This window comes from Homo sapiens, chromosome 8 (assembly GCF_000001405.40).
Source record: "Homo sapiens chromosome 8, GRCh38.p14 Primary Assembly".
Lineage (NCBI taxonomy): Eukaryota > Metazoa > Chordata > Mammalia > Primates > Hominidae > Homo > Homo sapiens.
Window position 1 is genome coordinate 20,784,600 of NC_000008.11, and position 22,856 is coordinate 20,807,455.

A 22,856-nucleotide genomic window follows, 5' to 3' on the forward strand; every position below is an offset into this window, starting at 1 on the left:
TGCTGAGATGAATCAGAAATTTGCGCCCCACCCCACCCCGGCTTCTATTAGGTCGGTGCAAAAGTAATTGCATCAACCTAATATCAGCTCATGGGTTAGTGGTGTTCACAACCATCTGATTTCTATTGTCCCTGCTGTGTGCATCCTCAGTTAGATAGAAGTGTGGCATGGTACTTAACCAACAGTACTTAAACACCTTGTGCATGTTTAGGAAACAGGATCAGAGTAAATGCCAGTAATCTCTGTCCATAGGCCTTCTTGTTACACAAAGGTGAACCTACAGACATGACCCCATCCCTGCATCCATGCAGATTACATACTAGCTAGAGGAGAAGGAAGACTTTCCTATCACATCCAAATATACAAATATAAACCCCGATAAGATCCATAGAGGAGAAGTACAAATGCCTGTGAGAGAGCCTGATTCGGTCTGGGAATTTGAAAAGGCTTCCCTGAGGTGGTGACATTTGGTGTGAGATGAGAAGGGAGAGATAAGAATCTGCCAGGGGAAGGGACAGGGGATGAGAACTATGAAGAAGGAATGGGAAGAACCAAGTTCCTGAGGTAGGAGGATGATGTACATATGAGGAATCAAAAGAAGGCCGTTGTGCCCAGGTTAGAGAGCAAGAAGGTGAATAGGAAGGGGTGAGGCTGGAGGGGCAGGCAGGGGCCAACCCTGTTGGGTGATCGTGGGTTATATGTTCCTTGTCCCAAGAGTGATGGAGAACATTGAAGCATTTTGAGCAAGGGAGCTATAACATAGATTACTGCAATTTTGAGTAAATTATATCCTTTCTGAACCTTGGTCTTCAATAAATGAAGGCAGATTAATTGAATGATCTCTTAGCTTCTTTCATCTCTAATATTCTATGATTCTGTAGCCCAGAAATATGCCCTCTTTTGATAGTTATCAGTACTAGTCACAGACACATCTGATTCTTCCTCTGGGTGTGTTATAGGACTGCACCTGCCTGGCTTTTTGGAGTTAGGTACGGCCAATGGCATGTGAGCTAAGTGACCTGTGAAAATTCTAGGTTGAAAGGTTAACAGCCAACATGCAATTTCCCAAGCTCTCTCTCCACCACAGTGGCCAGCAACATTTCAAATAGTGCAATATCTGGGTCCTAAAATGAGACTATTGGGGTGCACAACTCTCAGACAACCTGCAGTGGGCAAATAAAGCAACAAAGTAAGTAAACAAATAAATAAACCTTTGCCATTTGAAGCTACTGAGATCTAGGGGTTGTTAGTCAACACACCACACTGCCCAGTACACTCCAAGACCAACGCATGTCATAAAGGACATTTGGGACTGTTGTTTGGACCGTGGTGTATAGCTGGTACTCAAAAAATGTTTTAAAATAGTGCAACCTTCGAGCCAATGTTTTCCAAGTCATTCAGTCTGTGCCTTTGTTTATCTCATCCCTGAAATGGAACTGACCTCACTCCTGGAGTTGCCAGAGCTTGAGGCTAATCAGAAGATAATGAAGCCCTTGACGTTCCTGAAAAGCTCTCTAGATGATAAATAATAGAGTAGGCTGGCACAGGCTCTTGGCTCTGGCAAGAGCACACAGGGATGCCATTGCCGATCTCTCTCTCTGGTCTTTCTCCATCATCAGTGAACAGTCCAGGCTCCGGAGGAAACTGTTAGGTCTTTCAGGCTGCAGTGATGAGAGCAACTGTAATTAAGTCCTTACAGATTCCACCTTGTTTCTCAGGACATTTCGATCCTGACATTTCTGCAGTCTTTTTGAGTCAGGATAGAAGGAGAAGCATCAGTAATTTTTCTCTTTATCTTTTCCCCTACCTCTCATCTATCCTTGACACTGGGCCTTGAGCCAACTGCCACCATCATCCCAGATGCTACACACACAACCATGTGCACAGCGACACAAAACATTGTCATCACAGGACAAAAAAAAAAAAGTCCAGTGATGACACATTTTTGTTTGGAAAGAAGCAGAGTCAGACTAGGGGGAAGATGACTGGGCTTCCTGATGTGGTTGGGGGAAGGTTCTGTACTGCTGCAAGCTGATTCCTTAAACACAAACTCATACTCACACCCAGCACCCAGTCAACGCAACCACCTCCCTCTACACCATGGGATGGAATGGACCTGGGACTGAGACTTGCAAGTCCTGAGTCTGAGACTTGCTCCTACCAGAAGTGTCTATGTGATCTTGGACAAGTTCCTTGATAGTTTAAAGCCTCGGTTTCCTCACGAGTGTAACAGATCTGAGGACTGAATGAGATTGGCTTTTAAAAGGCCCATTCACAAGCTCAGGAGGCTTAATCCAATTGCCTTTCCCCTTGAGGATATCACCATTACCACTAAAGCAAAACATCATCTGTCCTTGGTCTCCTCCTGTCCTCCCACTCCCCTTTCTTCTTCACTTCCTGTCCCTTTGTGTTTACTATTCATTTTAGCTTAATTCTCCCCAAGAAAAAAATGATCCTGAGCTGTGTGTGAAGCCCTCCTTTCCCCACCTTGGTTGAGGGAGGTTCACTGTTGACCTTGATTGGGGCCAGATGTCCATCAGTGAGACCAGAGAGGGAGAAGGGGTCCTGGCTTTGAATAGCATTCAGTGACCTTGGGGTGGAAGGCCTGGTGTCTCTAGAGAGAGGCTGGATGATGGACAATGGGTGTGTAGGGAAGATAGCAGTGAGGCATCTCCTTGGAAACAGGCCTGTCACCTCCTCCTCATCCTAGTTATTCTCCATTGTTCCCCACTGAATACCTCATCTTCTTGGTTAAGGGGTCCTCTGTAGTCCCACCCACTCCCCATCCTCCAGGGGCAGCTGCACGTCCCCTCTTCCCACTTCCCTCTAGGGAGCAGCAATCAGCTCACACTCTCAGGACAACTTCAAGAATGAAATATCATTAGCAGGCCTCAAAAAAAGAGAAGGAAAGAGGGTCAGTAATCCCCATGCATATTTGAATTACTAAACACTCACCAGGGTCATACAGAACCACTTTCTATAGGCCTGTTCTACACATGGTGTGCTTGATGATACAGGGGGTAGTGGGAGTCGGGCAAAGGCCCAATGTTTTGGACTCCTCCGCCCGCAAACCCTGTCTTTCAATCCTAGCATGGATGTCCTCATTACTCCTGCCAAGAGCAAAAGCATTCTGCTTTTGAGCAAATTTCTTAAGTAGTATGGGCTTCACCCACAAGATGAGGCAGGTGGGCTAGGTGATGTTCTCTCATGCAGACCATCATTACCCAGTGGCTCTCTGCTGAGCCGTGAGCCCTCAGAAATACAGTGAAATATTTTGTGTGTCTGTTTAGGCATTTAAAGATGGGGAAGGGGGGACCTATGACCTCATCAAGTCAATTTCCTGGGAAGCCTCAATATTGAAAGAACACCCATAACAAAGAAATGGGATGAGTGTGGGAGACAGTTTAGAAATTAAGGCAACTGGAGTGCTAATATAAGTCTGACCTGTGACCTGGAAGCTCAGCAAAGTCAGACTCTAAGTGGGTCTGCTTCAGGGACAACTGGCAGGAGCTAAGCCAGAAGTGTAGGCCCAGCTGCCTGCTGGGACAGCAGCATTTCCACTGGGCAGCAGAGACCCAGGCAGACAGAGGAGCTCCAGAGGTCCTGAGCATCTGCAAAGCTGATGCCTAGGATCTCTTTGGCAGAGACAATGCCATAGGTGGTATGCCATTTTCCCTTCCTGGGCACACGAGAAGACTACATTTTCCAGCCTGCCTTGAAGTTAGATTGGGTCTACTTTCTGGCCAATGGGATGTGGAAAAATGGATGTAAGGCACTCCGAGCCCTGTCTCCTACAGAAGTCTTCTTGCTCTTTCTCAGAGATTATCAGGCATGGCCACCTGGTTTGCATCAACATGTGATATCAAGCGGAAATAAACCTTTGTTGGATCAAGACGCTGAGATTTAAGTGTTTATTGCCATGGGCAGGCCTAGATTATCTCGATTAATGCAATGCTTCAACCATCCAGTGTAAGACAGTACAACTCTATTTCTAAATATAGAAAATATAAAGTGGTAAATTAAAGCAGCAAATATAAAGTAGTAAATATTCACTAGTAAATATAAAGTGCTTAATATCCAGCCGGGCTGAGACCTTGACCATCTGTTGACTGGACTGCGTGATCACAGCAAGGACTGATAAGTTACCCCAAACTCCCATCTGACTGCCTCAGAATGGGAAATCTTCTGAGAAGTGGTTGCATCTTTGCTTAAACAATGTTTTAGAAATGAGGGGATCGTTCATGTATTTCTACAGCAGGGGAGGAAACTGTCATCTCTAAGGGATTGCTGTAGCACACTGATTCAGAGGGCAGGTTCTGGAGCTAAGTAGCCTGAGTTTGTGCCCTAGTTGCAACAGTTACTAACTGGGTGATTTGTGTAAGTTGCTTAACCTTCTTTTGCTCAACTTCATAAACTTATTGTATCACTTGTGATTGCTGTATAACAAACGGTCTCAATGCTTCATAGCTTGAAACATACATCTTTATTATTTCTTATAACTTTCCAGGTCAGCTGGGTCAATCTTCTGGTCTCATTTACGCATCTGTGGTCAGGGAGGTGGCTCTGCTGATCTTGTCTGAGCCCCTCTCACATGCTTGCAGGTTAACTGGCTATAGGCTTGTCTAGTGGTGTCAGCTAGAACAACTGGGCTCAAGGCTTGTTCCATATGGTCTCAGCTTGTTTACACAGCAGTGGCAGGATTCCAAAAGACAGAATACATGAATGATTTGGAATTCACCCATCAGCTCTACCTCTTTATTCTGGTGAAAACAAGTTATAAGTTTAGGTCAGGTTCAAAGGGTAGAGAAACAGACTCCATCTTTTTTAGGACAGAAAACCATGTTACAAAATATAATGATGGAGGGAGTCCATCAACAATGGTCATCAGTGCAATCAACCTCTCATTGTTATTGTAAGGATTAAATGTGTAACACATGTAAGATATTTGAATAATGTTGTTTTGTAAATTTCAGAACTTCATATTTTCCTGCTGCCTTAATATCTCCATTAGCTGGCTGTGAGCACCGTGCCCGGGTGGCCAGCTGCACCAGGGTGCTGACCACTGCCACAAGTCCTTCCTTCACACCCCTGACTGTGACCTAGTGACATTCATATGCACCAATGAAATTCCCTTGCACCTTTTGCTGTGTTCTCCAACGTGACCCTCAATAAAGGCACTTGCCTGCAGGTCCTCCCTCCTTCCTGAATCCCCGCAGGCTCTATTAAGTACACTCCGTTGGCGCTGTTTCCATGTGGCCCCCTTGCGGACTGTGGTGACCCTGTCTCTCTAGGATCTGTGGGTATATAGTAAATGCTCCATACACACGCGCATCTGTCATCTCCACTACCTTCTTCTCTGTACAGTCTTCACTGATGGAAATGCTTAAACACTATGTGTACTGTTAAGCCTTTAGTGTAATTATCTTCTGTAAGGTTCACAACCACCCTAAGACAAGTTTTTTAGAATCGTTTATTTCTATAAATGACAAAAGTGAGGCTTAGAGAGCGTAAGTAATTTACTCAAGTTACCAGGTACCAGGATCAAACTGAATCCATGTTCTGAATCACTGACTGGCTTCCACTGGCTTAGAAAGAACTTCACTTGTCGCTTCTGTATGGCAAAGGCTGCCCCAAATTTCAGAGCCACCTCAGTTAGTTCTGCTGTAACTGTCGGATATCCCCACAGCGAGGCATGCCGACAACTAGGCTGAGCCCTCCAGTCTCCTATTGCCAGAGAGTTGGTTCTGTGGCTGACCTGGGAATAGGCTTAGACCTCTGGGCATGGTTACGTCTCCATGGTACCAACATCAGCTCATGGTGCACCTTCTCCACCTTGTCTACCCTAGATACTCATTGTGAGGTTGGCTGATACCTCCAGCTGCCAGATGAGGCTTCTCCAGGACAGGTGCAAGTGTACATCAGGGATGTTAGCCCAGCCCTCTGGAAGGTATTTGAAGGTAGGTCTTTCTATCTAAGCACATCAGTATGGATTAGGTGAGTCTCAGCCCTGTTTGTCTAAGTTGCCTCCTTCATATTATTTCTCCCTAGCATCTTGTCCTCAAACCTATCCTGGTCTTCTTTCTAGTTCCCTAGGAGAGTGGAAGCTCTGCCCTAGAGTTTCCAGCCTTGTTTGAGCTCATTGTCAAGCTATACTCTTGCAATCAGGTTCTGCTTCTGCTCCTCGCAAACATTCAGGACAAAGGTAACCGATGTGATTCTCCTCAAGGGCCAGATCCAGGTAGGTGGGAACAATATTGAGGCCATATCTAGACCCAGTAGAAAATGGCGCTGTGATCATCTAGCAAGGTCTCCTGTAAGACAGGGAGTTAGAATGACAACAGGAGTTACTGTTATTGGCATCCCAGGCCTAGACCAAGGATGCCATCACCTGCTGGGCTTCTAAACTTGCGTTGCCAAATTGCATGCTTGGTTTGATGACCTTTGGACACCCGGCATTGAATGATTCAGCTGCCCCAGATGCCACAGGGTAGCTCAGACCCACATATTAGGTTAATTTCTCTAACTGCCAGATCACTCATTCACAGCTTTTTTTCCTTCCTCAATGGTGTAAATTACTCCCAAAGGACAGTTCCAGCTGAAGCCTGTTGAGTTATGACCAAACCCAAGGTCTTTGATAACTTAATTATACTGTTTGGCCTTAGGGATTGTCTTTGTTCTAATTCTAACTCTTCTCATTGACGATGATAAGGATTCAACCCAAAGATAAGATGAAAAGAGAAGAAGCAAAAAGCAGCAGGGAGAATTATTTAGGATGCTTACTCCCAGGTTCGCCTCTTCCTAGGATAATCATGACTGCCTGGATATAGTCAGTACAAGAGAGCATACCAATGCGAGGTGTTTCCTCAGACAGCCTGAGTTGAAATTTTGCCATTTCCAACTACCAGCTGTGTGACCTTAGGTGAGCTACCTACCTACCTAGCTACCTAACTACTCCATGCTTCTTCAGGTTTCTTGTCTGTAAAAATGAGGATAGTGACAGTTCCTACCATAAGAGATTGTTAGGATCATATGAAATAATTGATGTAAAATACTCAGAGTATTGCTTGGTAATTATCTTAGATCTCAGTTACTGTGTTGAGTTCATGCATTATCTCCTATTATATGACTTTTTGAGATCAGGTTTGATAGCCCCATTTTGCTAATGAGAAAGGAGAGGCATGGAGAGGTTAAGTCTATTGTCCAAGGTGACACAGCTGATAAATGTCAGAGCTAGGATTTGAGCCAAGGCGTGTTTGACTCCTAAACAAATGCTTTTTTTCAGAAGGAGCGTTTGGACCTAACAGCTCTAATCACCCAAATCAGAAGAAGTGGTCTGGTGAAAGTAAAATGAAACTGGCTTTTTTTAAAGGCAGGCCTGAGATATAATCCCACTGGCTGTTCACCATTGGGCAAATCACTTTACCTCTCTGGGCTTTAGAGTCCTTGGATGAGCCTTTTAAAGGCCAGTGTCAGTCAGTCCTCAGATCCCATTCATGCATGAGGAAACCGAGGCTTTAAACTATCAAGGAACTTGTCCAAGATCACACAGACAGTTCTGGCAGGAGCAAGTCTCAGACTCAGGACTTGGATGTCTCAGGCCTAGGTCCACCCCATCCCATGGTGTAGAGGGAGGTGGTTGTGTTGACTGAGTGCTGGCCTCCCATCTCCTTAGCCTCTGCCATCAGTGTCTCTCCTCCAGGCTGCAGCCATGATTTCATAAATGGCATGTGTACTTCTTAAATTTCTCCTGCGCAGGACCCATAGAAAGCGTTTCCTCCTAGAGAGAAAAAGTAGGAGCAGCTGGGAGTCACCACCTCTCAGCCCCATCCTTTAGTGATCCCTCATTTTCATTTCTGCTTTTCGGTGTCACATCCCATATTAACCCCATGGTCTGAAATGTTTAGCAAGTGAGGAAGGACCTCACAATGTTTAGAGCATTTAGTTGGAATAAATAATGTATGGAAAAGCAATGGTAAGGTACAAAATGCCTGCTAATTAGCAGAAGCTTAGAGTCAAGTAGGGAAGTTTCCTCTGGCAAAAGTTCTTTCAAACACCAGATCAGAGTCCCAGGGTCAGCCTGAGCCCAGCCACTCCTTCCCCATCCTCTGGCGGAAATCTGTCGGCTGCCTTCCCTCTGCAGCCAGCTTTCAGAAACCTGGGATCTCTATCTTCCCAGCAGGAAAGGAATTTATTAACACGTCCACTGCATCCCAAATTGAGAAATCAGCTGCCTGGAATCTGTGATCAATATGTTGTCTCTCAGTGATAAAGTGTTTCCTTGGAATATGTTCCTCATGTTCCCTTCATGGTTCAGAGCTCCCAGAGATTTGGGGTGGGTTCAGCTATTAGGTGCTCTGATCACTATGAGATTCTTCATCCTCTCTCAGCCTCCCGGCTCTCCAGGATCCACAGAGCCTGGCATGAGGTTCCTACCCACCTGTGACTCAGGCTGTTAGCAGGGGAAGATGAAACAAAAGAAAGGTTTCAATAGGAGGCATGGCTATAGACATGGTGGTGGTGGGCTGTTGCAGTGTTTATGGAGTTCGTTTCAAGCCCATATCTAACAGACATGTGAGCTGTAGGTTAGTTCTAAGTGACATTAAAATGCATCTGCCGGACGCCTCACTCAGCTCAAGACCAGGAGTGCATGCGCCGCTGAGATGCCACACTGCTTTGTTCATTTGTCTCCTCACTATCTTCACCAACATGGGCCTGTCTTCTGGTTGGCTCCCTCCCCTCTCCCACACTCTGGGCCTCCTCCCCACGATGCGGTGTCAATCTCTGTGGCATGTCCATGTTGATGTCTGCCTCGACCCCTCAGGACCCACTTATCTAGAAACCTCTAGGAATACTGAGAAGCACTTGGCATTTTCTAGCAGCCACCCAACCTCAGTGACCAAATCTTTGGCTGTTGACATATAGGTGACAGGAGATCTTCGGTCACATTATGATTTTAGACACCTGCTGTTCTCCTCACCTTCTTTCTATGGCTGAGAGTAGAGTGCTTCCCGGCCCTGGACCTACAGTCAATGAAATGTGCAAGAGAGATGGTAAGAGGGTTGGAAGTAGAGAGAGAAAGGTAGGAAGCCAACTACAGAGTGGTTTTGGTATGTCATAGGAGCTCCTCCAGCTCTAGGTAGAATAGGAACTGCAAACTCAAGGTTTCTCCTGGCTGTGCTTTGCGTGCATGTGTGTACACATGGGTGTGAACAAAAGTGTGTGCATGTACGTGTGTGTATGTGTGCTTGTGTTGGGATAGGGTTGATTTCCAGGCTGCTGGATTCTAAACAATAAGTCAAGTGTTTAAAAAAGAATCTAAGGTTTATCAGCCAGGCGAGGTGGCTCACGCTTGTAATCCTAGCACTTTGGGAGGCCGACGCAGGTGGATTGCCTGAGCTCTGGAGTTTGAGACCAGCCTGGGGAACATGGTGGAACCCCGTCTCTATTAAAAATACAAAAAATAGCCGGGCGTGGCAGCAGGCACCTGTAATCCCAGCTACTTGGGAGGCTAAGGCAGGAGAATCGCTTGAATCCAGGAGGTGGAGGTTGCAGTGAGCCGAGATCGCACCATTGCACTCCAGTCTGGGCGAGACAGCGAGACTCCGTCTCAAACAAAAACAAAAACAAAAAAAGAATCTAAGGTTTATTGTACTGGTCAGTAATTAATCCATGATCAACCAGTCATAAAACTCAGTGGCTTAAAAGAGTAATGGCTTATTTTTGGTTGCCCAACTGCAGTTTGGCCGGTGGTTGGCTGATCTGGCTGGGTTCTGCTGGAAAAGCTGTGCTCCACCTGTCTGTTAGTCTGCTTGAGCTAGTTTGCTAGGTGGGGCGTGTTCTCATGGTGACAGCTGGGGCACAAGAGATATAAGTAGAAATATGCAAGTAGAAATATGCAAGTCTCAAGATGAGGCCGTGGGAAAGGTATGGATACACAGAAAGGTAAAGAACTGGGAACAGTAATTCAATTCAGCACATCCATGTGCATTATACTGGCTCATTATTCTCTTGCCAAAACCAGCCTAAGCTGGGCATGGTGGCACGTCCCTGTCATCCCAGCTACTCAGGAGGCTGAGGTGAGAGGATTACACTGAGCCAGGGAGGTCGAGGCTGCATTAAGCTGAGATCACACTGCCGCACTACAACCTTGGTGACAGAGTGATGAAAAAAAAAAAAAAAGCAGCATGGATGAAACTGCTCAATCCTCTTGTAGACTGAACCTTGGATGATAGCAGCACACTCAGGGAGAAGTCTGTACACTCTCAGTGTGGATGCTCAGGGCTTGTGTCTCGCAGTACTGGGCAATGTTTACTGACAAAGCTGTCAGGGCACCTGGTGAACTGTGCTGGGGGCATGGTGGTGGGTGGTAGATTCTAGTCTCTGCTTCTTCCTAATTGGCAATGTCACTGTAGGCAAGTGATTTTAGTTAATTTAAGTCCTCTTGGAATCTGTCAGGGGAGGATAAGAAAATCTTAATTTGCTCAATTGTCTCAGCCTGAGGGCCCAGAATTTAGTATTTTATCTTGTGTCCATATTTTCCTGTCTTCATCATCGATACCAGTGACTTTACTTCTTGACTGGTCTGGATGCATTTCTTGTAATAACCATCTCTGTAGCCACTTCCATTATGGGTTTTTGGGGGCAGTAAATATTTGCCTATTTTTGGCAGCCTAGCATCTGAATATCTTTCTAATGTTTGGGGTACCTCGTATCATAGGTACTGCCATAGAAGGCAGAATCTGCTTCTATTACAGAAGCTAAAAAGGCCAGACACATTTCCAGCCTCCCTTGAAATACAGTGCAGGGATTTGACCCGTGCTTGGCCAATCACATGCATCCATCCAACTTGCGAGCTGCCGCACAAACAAGCAAGGGCCAGAGGGAGGCTGCCTTGGAAGTGGTGATAGCAACAATGTGAGGTCTCTGTAGGGACTGGGATGATGGTGGAGACTGTGGTATACCCAGTGTCCAGTGTGGCAGAGCGGCCTGCAGCCTCGCTGGGTGGCCGTGGCAGTGGAGGTCTGATTTTGGCTATGGTGTGGTCTGATTTGGGCTATGGCTTCCCAGTTTTTCTTTGTTCTATACTATTTTCTGAACCTGGTCTTCATTGCATTTTGACAAATTGCTTAAGCACCCAATACTTTGTAGATAAATTCCTTTCTTGGCTAGTGTGATTTTCAGTTGCTTGAAACCAAGGACCCTGAGTACTATGTCTTCTGTTCTGCTGTCTTATCCATCACCTGTAGAGGAGTGGGTTTGAGCCCACACACCACCCATCTGGAAAGGCCCCTGGGGCAGAAGAGGCGTGGGGCCAGCTACCTCCCTCCAGACTGATAGCTTTAGCATGCATACTTGAAATGTCGGTTAAGGAGTTGCTCTCTCTGCCTTCCCTTGGAAAGTAAAACCTCTCCAGATGTAATTTTTTTTTCAAAATGACTGAGGGCTCCCTGGGGAGGAGTCCACGTACAGCTGCTGTGTGCCCCCATTGGTCAAGTGAGCCATTAAAACATCCATGACTGGTCTGAAGGGGACCCTTGGGCTACATCTAGCAACTGCAATCGCCCACCCTGTTACCCTGACATGAGACTGCCCTCTCTGTGGGAGCCTTGCTCAGGCCACGAACAGAGTTAGGTGAGAAGGAACATGTGCTTATTTAGTCTCTTTTCCCAATTCTGTCCTTAGCTGGAGAGACCACGCACCAGTGGAGATTGGTCCTACCAATCTTCAGACCTACACCTGGCATTACTCAGGACCAGTGCCCCGGAATAGAGGAGGGCAGGGTCAGGGGAGACTACAGAAGGCTGTGAGGCAGGTTTGGGTACATGAAGGATAAGCAGCCACTTCTCAGGAGGCTCTTTGTTCCCCAAAATAAGCACCTCCCCTCTTTATCTCAGGACTCTGCTGCAGTTGGTACTTTTCACCCCAACTTTCACTGCAGTATCTCTAAACAAGTGCTATTGGCAGTTTGGGTGGGACAATTCACTGTGCAGGACTACCCTCTGCAATGCAAAACATTGAACGTCCTTGCTCTTAGCCCATTAAATGATAGCGACTCACCCAGTCATTGTGACAATGCAGAACTCCTGAACCATTTCTATATGAAGCATAGGGGTGGTACCACCCTCAGGTGAAAGCCAGGGAGTTAAGGAGTTTGAAGGAGCTTTTGTTCAGTGTAAAGAATGCATTGAGCATTCTGAGGTTTTGTTAACTATTAATGCTAAATCTTCATTGAGACAGCTAGACCCTCTGTAACAGAAACAGGATCCTTTGCCATATAGGGCATTGAGGAGGTTAGTTTTGGTAGAAAAGCTTGAGGACAGAATCCTCAGTATCAGGACCTACTCCGTGGATGGGGTTCACTGGGAGAAAGGGTGAGAGGACACAGATGAAAGGCTTGGGTACCCAGGGAGTATACAGCATCAGGAAGCTGGAAAGCCTTGGGAGTGTTCAGGAGGGAGGTGGAGAGCCGCGATGGGGAGATGGGAGTGGAGATAGAACACCTCACACAGGACAGCCCCTTTTCCCCATTTCAACCATCTCCTTGCCAAGACTCCCCTGGTGATTGATGCCCAAAGACTGCAGAGCTATGAAAGGTTGTTGGCCATCAAAATCCTTTCTAGAGTCGCATCCAGGAGTGGCTGTGCTGGCCGTAACAGTGTCGTCAAAACTTCAGTGAGGAAAATCCAGGCTGGTCAAGCCTGCTGTGTGATTGAATATCCAATTTTCCAAATAGCTACAGCAAAGCAGAAAGTTCCATCCTGAGTATCTTCCATATGCTGAGGCCATGCTGGACACAGATGGAGAAGAAATAGCTGACAGGCTCAAATATTTCCCTCTGTATGGGGTAGTGGGCATGTCAGCAGACATCACACTACAGTGTGCTACATGAGACAGGACCCTACGTAAGGGAGAGAGGTAGAAGAAAGAAGAACAGCAGCATCAGAACAGTTTTCAGAGAAGAGCTTTTAATGAGAGATATCTTTTTATACTTATTTAATTTATTGATTGATTTTATTGATATAAACTTAAGGGGTACAAGTGCAGGTTTTTTCATGGATATATTGCTTAGTGGTGAAGTCTGGGCTTTTACTGTGACAGTCACTCAAATAGTGTACATTGTACCAATTAAGCAATTTCTCATCCCTCAACCTCTTCCCACCTGCTCACCCTTCTGAGCCTCCAATGTCTATTATTCCACACTCTATGTCCATGTATGCACATTATTTACCTTCCACTTGTGAGAACATGCAGTATTTAACTTTGTTTCTAAGTTATTTCACTTAACATAATCTCCTCCAATTCCATCCACGTTGCAGCAAAAGACATGATTTCATAAGAGCTACTTTAATAGTGAGGCAGAGGTAGAGGAAATGGCATGAGCAAAAGTATAACGTATTAAAAAAAATGTGTTGAGTGGAGGGGAATGAAGTGTTTGGAAACCATAGCTGCTTTTTTGTTTGTTGGTTGGTTGATTGGTTTATCATCAATATGCTTTTGTTTACCATTTCATCTGGGTTGGTTTGGCCTGCCTCACTAGGCATCTGCTGATGTTCACTAGCTACAGGAAACCTTTGGAAGGCTGTGGGGCCGGCTTTTCCTCTCCTTTCTCTTTGGCCTGATGACAGACTTTCTCATATAATTCCCTCTCTAACACAAAGTGGTCATGGCAGATGAAACACCCTATGTTGTCAGTTTCACTGGGGTTGCTGCTATTTGTGGCCTAAGTGAGTGAGTGCAGGTAGGCAGGTGGAAAGGAGACTGCCCCTTCCATGCATGCTCTTCCATGTCCCTGTGTGAACCAGCTGAAAGATGGTGTCTAGAAATCTTGAGAATAATGAATATTTCAGTCTTGGTAGTTGTGCCATCAGGCAGCCAACTGGATGTGTTGAATTCTGTTTTATCTGTACCTAAAACTCAAATGCACTCAACCTTGAATTAAAATCTGCTATACATTGAACATCTGTGTCCTCTCAAAATTCGTATCTAATCATCAATATTAGGAAATGAGGCCTATGGGAGGTAATTAGGTCATGAGGGTACAGTCCTCACAAATGGGATTAGCAATCTTATAAATCAAGAGAGACCTCATGTCCCTTCCACCATATGCAGAACTAATGAAAAATAGCCTTCTGTGAAGCAGAAAGTGGTCCCTAATCAGACACCAAATCTGCCAAGCACCTTGACCTTGGAATTCTAGTAGGCTCTATAACTGTGAGAAAAAAATTTCTGTTGTTTATAATCCACCCAGTCTACATACTCTGCTACAGCAGCCCAAATTGATAAAGACATACTAGAAAGAAGAATTTTGAGTTGAGAGGCCCTGAAGTGCACAAGACAAGAAGGAGTTTTGCGGCGAAACCCAGACCCCAGTGAGCAACACCACCTCTGCCTGCCCTGTGTCCTTGGACAAATTACTGGATGCCCTTCCTCCCAGTCAAAGGCCCCTTCTGCCTTCTAGATAATAAAATAGGAAAACTGAGACCTACTTCATAGCTCAGTTTACAATCAAAGAAGATACGCCATGGGAAAGTACTTCGGCAAGTGCAAAGTTCTGTCCCAGGTGGGTGGAGGAAAGCAAGGAGAAGGGGAGGCTGTCCTGGAGGCGCCTGAGGTGGGAAATGAAGACAATCCCAGTTAGTGCAGCCTTGTTTGTGCCACAGGAGAGGCCCCACAAGCCCTTCATTCCTAATTACCCTTGGATAATGAATGAATACAATGGTAAATGTTATTAGAATAATTGACTATTCATCAAGAACAAGAGACAATTAGAATAATTCCCTATTAGTATTCACATGTCCCCTCGCTGAAGGCGGCTCCCTCCACCTTGGGCTCCCAGGACTCCCATTAAAGGTGCAGGATCCCCCTTGGGCAGCACCAGCCCACATCCAGCAGGGTTATTAGGAAAGGGGAGTTATTGGCTGTGTAATTAACTATGTAATTAACTCAGAGTGCCGAATGCAATCAGCATCTAATCTAATAGAAATGTGTAATGAAGTTGGGTCTTTAATCCCTGAGAAAATCTCTGGATTTGGGTATGGGAATCAATCTGGCAGGGTGCCCCCAGGTCTCCATTATCTTCAATTAGACAATTAATTGATATTCAAGTTACCTTTCTCATTCAAACCTAATTGAATTTCTCCCTACTCCCCATGAGGTGTAATGTGTTTATAAAGATGCTCCTCTCCACTCACCGACTAAAGAATCCACAGTAAAGCGGTCATCACCTGTCTCCCACTGCCACTTATCTGGATATTAGATGCCAGCAAGTGGCCCCTTTAAGAGATTGATTGGCGCTTTGCTTTCTCCTTGGTACCTTTGTATCCAAACAGTGCAGTGGTGACTGGCTGGAGAGCAGCTCCATGTGTGACTAATGAAATTTTTTCTCCTTATTGCTCCTATGTCAGGCAATTGTAGCCAACATCTCCATTTTGTTTTCTAGCTCCCTTTTGCTTCTCCCTGACTCAGCTGTCTTCTCCCTAAATCCCCGTTTTATCCTCCTAGTCCAACTTCCAGCAACCTACTGAGCTCTTCTCTGCCCTGCACCGCCTGCCTTCCTCCTCAGATTTAGCTCTTGGTGAGCAAATCATGCAACCTATGTGATTTTGCCATGTTTTCTTGCTCTGCAAAAACAATGCTTACAGTCCTAGCACCCTAACAGCTTCCCCAAGGCTAGCTTTCCCAGGGGATTCAGAGAAGCAATTGCACCAGGATGGGGGAGGAGAGAGACGGAGGTAAGACAGGCATAGAGAGTCAGAAAGACTGTGCGAAATGGAAAGACAGCAGAAGAAGCGGAGAGATGAGAAGAGACGAGGGGAGAAGGGGGACACAGGCTGGAGAAAAATGTGAGAGAGAAAAGAGAGAGGATGTGAAGAAGAAAATAGGAAGAGAAAGAGAGAAGGGAAAGGGGAGGAGTTAAGAGGAGAGAGAGGCCTGAGTTTAATATAGCTGTCCTTAAGGACACAGAGCCAGCCAGCTAGCAAGGGGGGAGTGTCAGCCATTCAGGGAGGATCTTATGGAAGGCCTGACTATCAAACAGAGGCTCCAGTGGAAGCTGAAGCTTCCAATTGCACTATATACCTGATAGCCTAATCTGAAATGAGAATCTCGGGGGAGGTGTAGCCATTCTCAAAAAGGCTGCTATTTTTTTTTTAAACAGAAAATATAATAAAACTTTACTTATCCTCTCTGCCTTCAGAAGTTTAACAAAAGTGCATTCTTTCAGAGGGATCACTTATCTCCAGTGGCAATCAGCTTAAATACGTCCCATTATCAAGCTGCCTGCTACTGTACATCAGCGGGTGTTGTACCAACACACAGTCGAGTGTGGATAACATGCCAGTAATTGCTTGTCTGTTTAAAGAAACTCCAGTTCCCAGAGAGGAGAGAGGACAAGTGAAAGCCAGTGAGACAGAAGCATGTGTTGGAGCTGGGGCCGGGAGCAGAGGAGGCCTGAACACTGAATGGCAGAGGAGCTTTGCAGAGGAGTTCCGGGGACCTAGGCTTGAAGACTAGATCAGGGCTGGGTCAATGAGGCATGGCTGAAAGAGTCCTTCCTTGACATTGCTAAGAACTGGGAACAAAAGGGCAGGTGGAAGAGGTGCAGATAGGAACCTGTTCTCACTAATCTACAGGGCCAGACTCAGTGATTTGGGGATAGAGGTTGGGGTGTCAGGGTCTAGTGACCCCAAATAACTTCTCTACTTTCTTCTTGTACTGCTGAGAATGGCAACATTACTTATTTATATTTTGATCACATGATGACCTTTTCTTTACAATTCTTTAAAGTACAGTGGTAGCCTTGCCAGGTATTTTTAAGTCTTGAATCATCAATCTGTGTATCCAGACTTCAGTGAGGAGATTGTGTTTCTGCTTTCTTCCTATATCGCCTAACCCAGGGATGGGGATGCAGGAAATCCTGTATACACATCAGATAAATGGATGATGAACCCACAAAGGTCAATGAGCCCTTATTTATGAGCTTCCACTTCTTGCCAGACCCAGAGCTAGGCTTCCAGGGTGGTTTATCTCCTTTGATCATCATAAAAATGCCAGCAGGTAAGTAAGTATTGCAAGCCCTGTTTTACCCATGAGGAAGCAGAGGTTCAGAGTGAGGAGTGACTGGCCTAAGACCACATGCCCAGTAGGAGCTCAGCTCCCAGCCAAGCCTGCAGAGATCAGCGACCAAGCACAATGCCCCAGGCAAGCACAGAAGGCAGCAGTGCCAGAACGGAGCTCAGCCTCACCTTACACTTCCAACTCACCTCCACAGTACTGGATGATCCTGAAGGGTATCTTCTCTGTTCCTTCCTGCTCTGTAAAATGGAAACCATTTCCTGTTTTAAGCTCAAGTCTCAGGTCATTGGTGCTATCAATGGGAGAGGGACAGTGAAATACTATGCAGTGTTCCTCCCCTACTCCTTTGTCAATAATTAAGAGCTGTACTGTAAGTGTCAGTGTGGTGCATGAGGATAAATGCCCCCTCCCATTCTAGTGTTTTCCTTTGCTAATAAGCTGGGAGACCTTGGGCAGATCTTTGAACTCCCTGAGTGCTTTCAGCTCCCTTATGTTTAAAACAGAGATAATAATATCTGCTTTTCCAATCCTGCAGGATTATTCTAAGGATCAAATAGTGTAATGCACATGATAATGCTCTTGAATACACAGAAGCTTTTCATTTTGTGTATCTAGGTATATTCATATTCATTAGGTTTAAAGACTAAAACTAGCTATGAAATGCCACTGTCGGCATAGAGAGAGGACTCTGTGTCTTGGCAGACTCTGTTTATAGTTTGTCCTTAAGGATACCCATTTGTTTGTTTTAAGAAGAAGATTTGGCTCGCAATAAAGATATTCATGGCTTTCAGGACACGAAAATGTGCCTTGGATGTCACAAGTTTGTTTGAATTTCACTCCAGGGAGCTGAGCTCAGTAAACACTTTCATGTGTAGGCAGCACCCTTAATCAAGCCGATGAATCTTAACCTAACCTTCACAATAAAAGTTTAAATAGAACCCTGATTAAATAATTGTTATTTTCCTGCTGAGAATCTCAGTTGGGATGCCGTCTTTAGTGTAATATGTTATGCAAATGTTATATACAGCATGTATATGTCTCCTCTGCTGCAAACTGTGTCTTTGATCGTACTAACGAAGGGCTGGGAATCAAAGACTAGGTTCTAGTCCTTGTTCTGCCAGTGACTAGCTGTGTGACCTTGAGAAAGTCACTTAATCTCCCAGAGTCTCAAAGTCCTCATCTTGCACAAAGGATTGAAAGAGATCAATGGCTTGCCCTCATTTATTGCCCCTCCCCCAACCATGGAATCCATGTTTTCAAAAACGTCTACCAATCTGCATATATTACATGATAATTAATTCATTTCGCCAAGTCTAAAAATCAAAGGCATTTGTAACTGGTAGACAGAGATTCTGATCAGTCTTATATAATCAGGGTTAACACAATGAGCTATGATAATTTCAAGTAGAAGCAAAGAAGTATGACACTTCAGGGTGTCCTGTAGCCTCACAATGGATAGATGGGGGAGTGCATTTGACATTGTCAAATATTAACAATAACTCACCAGTCCTTATCACTACCTGTGCCCAACCCCAGAGTTGTATAAACAGGTTGGGAATCTCCAAAGTGCCCACTCACTCTAAGTTTCTGTCTACTCACTCAAAGCTCTTGTCTAGCTCTCATCATCTACGATCAAGTCGTTCTGGAGATTTAGGTAAGCATCAAATGAACATATGTTCCTGCCTTCATCATGCTCACATTCTAGTATATGTGGAAGGAAAGGGAACAGAAAACAAATATAATAAAATATTAGCTAAATCACAGTGTATCTTAGAAGGTGATAAGTGTTTCAGAAAGACAGAAAGCAGAGGAGGGTGAGGGCTCCTGAGGGTAAGGTTGCAGTTGATAGTCAGGAGGGTAACATTTGAGCAAAGACTTGATTGAAGGAGGTGTGAAAGGAAAATATCTTGGGCCCCCAAAATCACTAAGCTGAAGGGAAAATTTGAGCTGGGAACTGCTTAGGGCAAGCCTGCCTCCTATTCTATTGAAAGTCACCCCTCTGCTCACTGAAATAAATGCATGTCTGATTCCCTCCTTTGGAAAGGCTAATCAGAAACTCAAAAGAATGCATCCATTTGTCTTTCACCTGCCTGTGACCTGGAAACCCCCTCCCTGCTTCGAGTTTTCCCACCTATCCAGACAACCAATGTTCATTTTTACATATATCGATCAATGTCTCCTGTCTCCCTAAAATGTATAAAACCAAGCTGTGCTCTGACCACACTGGGCACATGTGATCAGGACCTCCCGAGGTTGTTGCACAGGTTCGCATCCTCAACCTTGGCAAAATAAACTTTCTAAATTAACTGAGATCTGTCTCAAATTTTTGGCGTTCACAGAGGCAAAAAAGCAATATACACACACTTAGTGGCGAATGAGCAGGTCGGGCTGAAGCTGTAGTGAATGCAAGGTTCTTGTGGCTGAAACATGCTTAGCATGCTCAGAAACCAGCAAGAAGGCCAAGCTGGCTGGGCAGGGGAATCTGGTGGGTTGTCAGAGATAAGTCTAGAGAGAGCCTTGTAGACCATTGTGATGACATTGGCTTTTACTCTGAGGCAGAAGTCATGGTAGGTTTGGTGCTTGGGTGCAACGGAGTTACGTGGTCTATCTTATGTTTTGAAAAAATCATCTGCTCATAGGAATTGACAATAGAATGCAGAAGAACAAGTGTGGAAGCAGGAGGACCAGTTAGGAAGCTGTTGCAGTGGTTATCAAGAGACTATAGAGGCTTGACAAAGGCGGCAGTGATGGATTGGTGAGAGCAGTCTATTTATGAATACATTTTAAAGACTGAGCTCTCAGGACTTGCCGTAGGATTGACCATGAGGTGTGGGAGAGAAAGAGGAAGTCAAGGTTTTGGAATTCAAGGTATCCGCTCTGTCCTCTGATGAAGTCACTGCATTGACATATATATCAATGTGTATTAGTTCGTTTTCACGCTGCTGATAAAGACACATCCAAATCTGGGAACAAAAAGAGGTTTAATTGGACTTACAGTTCCACATGGTTGGGGAGGAATCATTGCAGGAGATGAAAGGCACTTCTTACATTGTGGTAGCAAGAGAAAAATAAGAAGCAAAAGTGGAAACCCCGATAAACCCATCAGATCTTGTGAGACATTATTATTATTACTATTATTATTATTATTATGTTCCCAAATTTAAAACTTTTAATTTAGAAGTAAACTTTAAAATGGAAAATGCAAACTTAGGGAGTGCAGAAAGATCACACACAAGGCTGACACTTCCCACCTGGAGGGTTGCACGGTGACCGGGCAGAGGCGCTCCTCACTTCCCAGACGGTTGGGTGGCTGGGCAGAGGCACTTGTCACTTCCCAGATGGTGTGGCCGCTGGACAGAGGCGTTCCTAACTTCCCAGATGGTGTGGCGACCAGGCAGAGGCGCTCCTCACTTCCTAGATGGTGCAGCTGCCGGAGACTTATTCACTACCACAAGAACAGCATGGGAAAGACTGGCCCTCATGAATCAACTACCTCCCCCTGGGTCCTTCCAACAACACATGGGAATTCTGGGAGATACAATTCAAGTTGAGATTTGGGTGGGGACATAGCCAAACCATATCACAATGTATTACACACATGTAACAGAAGGCTTTGTAGAAAGTCCCATGACTTATGATTTTGTATAAATTTCCCTTGACCTCCAGGAAAATCACTTAAATAATTTGTGAGAGCCTATGAGCTTATGTGAATTCTGGAGAAGAATGACATGCTATGTTATATCTTACTTGGCAAACATTGGTGGGAAAATCCCATCCCAGAGGCAGTGCTCAAGTGAGGCATAGAAGCCAGAGTTTACTCCTCCATTCCTAAATGGACCTTGTTTGTTGAACGTGGAGGGGGCTTTTATAGCTTTTATTTCCCTTGAGATCAGTCTGATACCACAAATCCTAAATGTGTGTGGAAAGTGAAATGACCCTGAGAGCTTTCTGCTGATGAACCAAGGTTTGGGAAAACTAGTCCTCTTATTTATAAGGGAAGGAAATAAATGGTTCTCAGTTCCCTACTGATCATGGAGATGAAATGGATGAAAACTGAAGTGCAACTCAGCACCGTAAAGCCTTTTCAGAACATGATAGAATGTCAATCAATAAAAAATTAGAGCAGACCTAATCTTTGCAAAAGGGGTTCTGCAGAACATTGGATACAAGGACTACTAATGGGTTTTATCTGAAAAAATTCTATGATATGCATACAAATTTGAGAAATACTAGGCTGAACAGGGCTAATTGGTTTTCTTTACTTCTTAGAGTCTTTAATAGGCTAAGGATAATATTTTCAATAGGATTGATTTGATATGCAGAATTTTCTAAATATTTGTGGACATGAAACCCTATTTCATCCCCTGAGTAATACCTCACTTTGAGAAATGCTCATCTTGACCCCAAAACAGTCTAGGACTAAAACACAGTCATAATCATTGAAAGCACGGACATTTTTTATCTAGGATAGATTCTTTGTAATTCTTGCCTGGTGGTAGGTAAGTAAATGAGAGTATCGCTTTGAGCTACCAGTTTTATGGTTCTATTCATTTAGACTAAATTCAGCAACTTTTTGAGGTATAACTATGGGTCATACCTAGAGGTTTGGTTTCAACACCATTTATACCATCAAAAAGTTCACAGAATTTTATGAAGGAGGCAACATGAGAATACTTACTTGCCATACAACTTGATAAAGCTGTCCCAGAACTATGTACTAAGATCTAGCAGACATAAGTTCAGAAAAAGAAAACAACATAGTAGGTGAAAATATGGCAGAACTTGCAGTCAGCAGACAAGGGTTTGAATTTTGCCTTGTCCATGCCTGACATCTGGATAGGTTATATATAATCACTCTGAATGTAAGAAAATTAAATATTGCTACCATGCAGGGTTGCCTGGGAGAATAAAAGTACATAAATTTATATGTAAGCTGGACTGTAGTAGGTACTTAATAAATGTGGCTAACACAAATTTATTAATTGTAATAATAAATGAAGAAAACTACTCCAACAATATTTCTGCCTAGATTTTATGGCAAGGATGGGTTAGGAAAATTTATTTAGAGAAAAGGACATTGAAGTTGCTTAAACAAGAAAGTATATGAAGATAAATTAGAAGATAAATTCAGAGGACAAGAGATGCAAACATAAGTGGGGTCACAGCATGAGCTATTGCCAGGGCCAGATTGTGAAGATGCTTGTGTAGCAAGATTCAGAGTTGAGACAAGCTGATGCATGCATTGGGGGGCCACACTGATGGTTTTAAAGAAGTGGCATGATCAGGACCCATGGTGGATGCATCTTTGTACAATTTATCCTGTCTTGCTTGAGAGACAAATTGCATTTGCTTCACATCTCTTGATCACTTGAGGGTCTATGGTGTCATGGTGCTCCGAGTGTGGACCACTGAGATTGAAACTCATTTGGTAACACTAAGCTCAGACCCATTTTGGCTGCCTCTCCATACCTTAGAATCAGTGTTTTCATATTGTATTGTCCAGAATTTTAAGGTTCAGTGGAGACCATTAACTGGAAAGCTCCACATCAATTGGATTCCCACTTCTTGAAATTTTTACTTTATTCTGTTTCAACCTGAAATAAACACATGTATGCCCATGTACACACACACACACACCACACACAATTCAAATGTTTTATGTACCAAATGATAATACGTGAGAACCTAGTTGCATGTAAAGTTGGATTGCTAGGCTAACATGTTTTGGGGAAGATTTCAGTATAAAGCTTGTCACCCTGTATTCTGTAAAGCATTTGAAATTC

At 44.5% G+C, this 22,856-nt stretch overlaps 1 long non-coding RNA gene across 1 annotated transcript in view, besides 2 other annotated features; it reads left to right on the forward strand.

Annotated features, from left to right (window-relative positions):
- The window catches only part of LOC105379315 (uncharacterized), a 283,462-nt gene that overhangs the window by 119,764 nt on the left and 140,842 nt on the right, over positions 1 to 22,856 (forward strand). The window contains exon 2 of the long non-coding RNA XR_949569.4: positions 5,847 to 5,957. This is a non-coding gene — a long non-coding RNA (uncharacterized LOC105379315). The remainder of the gene's footprint in view (positions 1 to 5,846; positions 5,958 to 22,856) is intronic.
- Positions 19,892 to 20,392: an enhancer, noted in NCBI's record as "H3K4me1 hESC enhancer chr8:20662002-20662502 (GRCh37/hg19 assembly coordinates)". NCBI's record gives its function as "activates a minimal SCP1, AML or CMV promoter by ChIP-STARR-seq in primed H9 embryonic stem cells {active_cell/tissue: H9 hESC(primed)}" and the evidence as "EXISTENCE:reporter gene assay evidence [ECO:0000049][PMID:30033119]".
- Positions 20,393 to 20,893: an enhancer, noted in NCBI's record as "H3K4me1 hESC enhancer chr8:20662503-20663003 (GRCh37/hg19 assembly coordinates)". NCBI's record gives its function as "activates a minimal SCP1, AML or CMV promoter by ChIP-STARR-seq in naive and primed H9 embryonic stem cells {active_cell/tissue: H9 hESC(naive and primed)}" and the evidence as "EXISTENCE:reporter gene assay evidence [ECO:0000049][PMID:30033119]".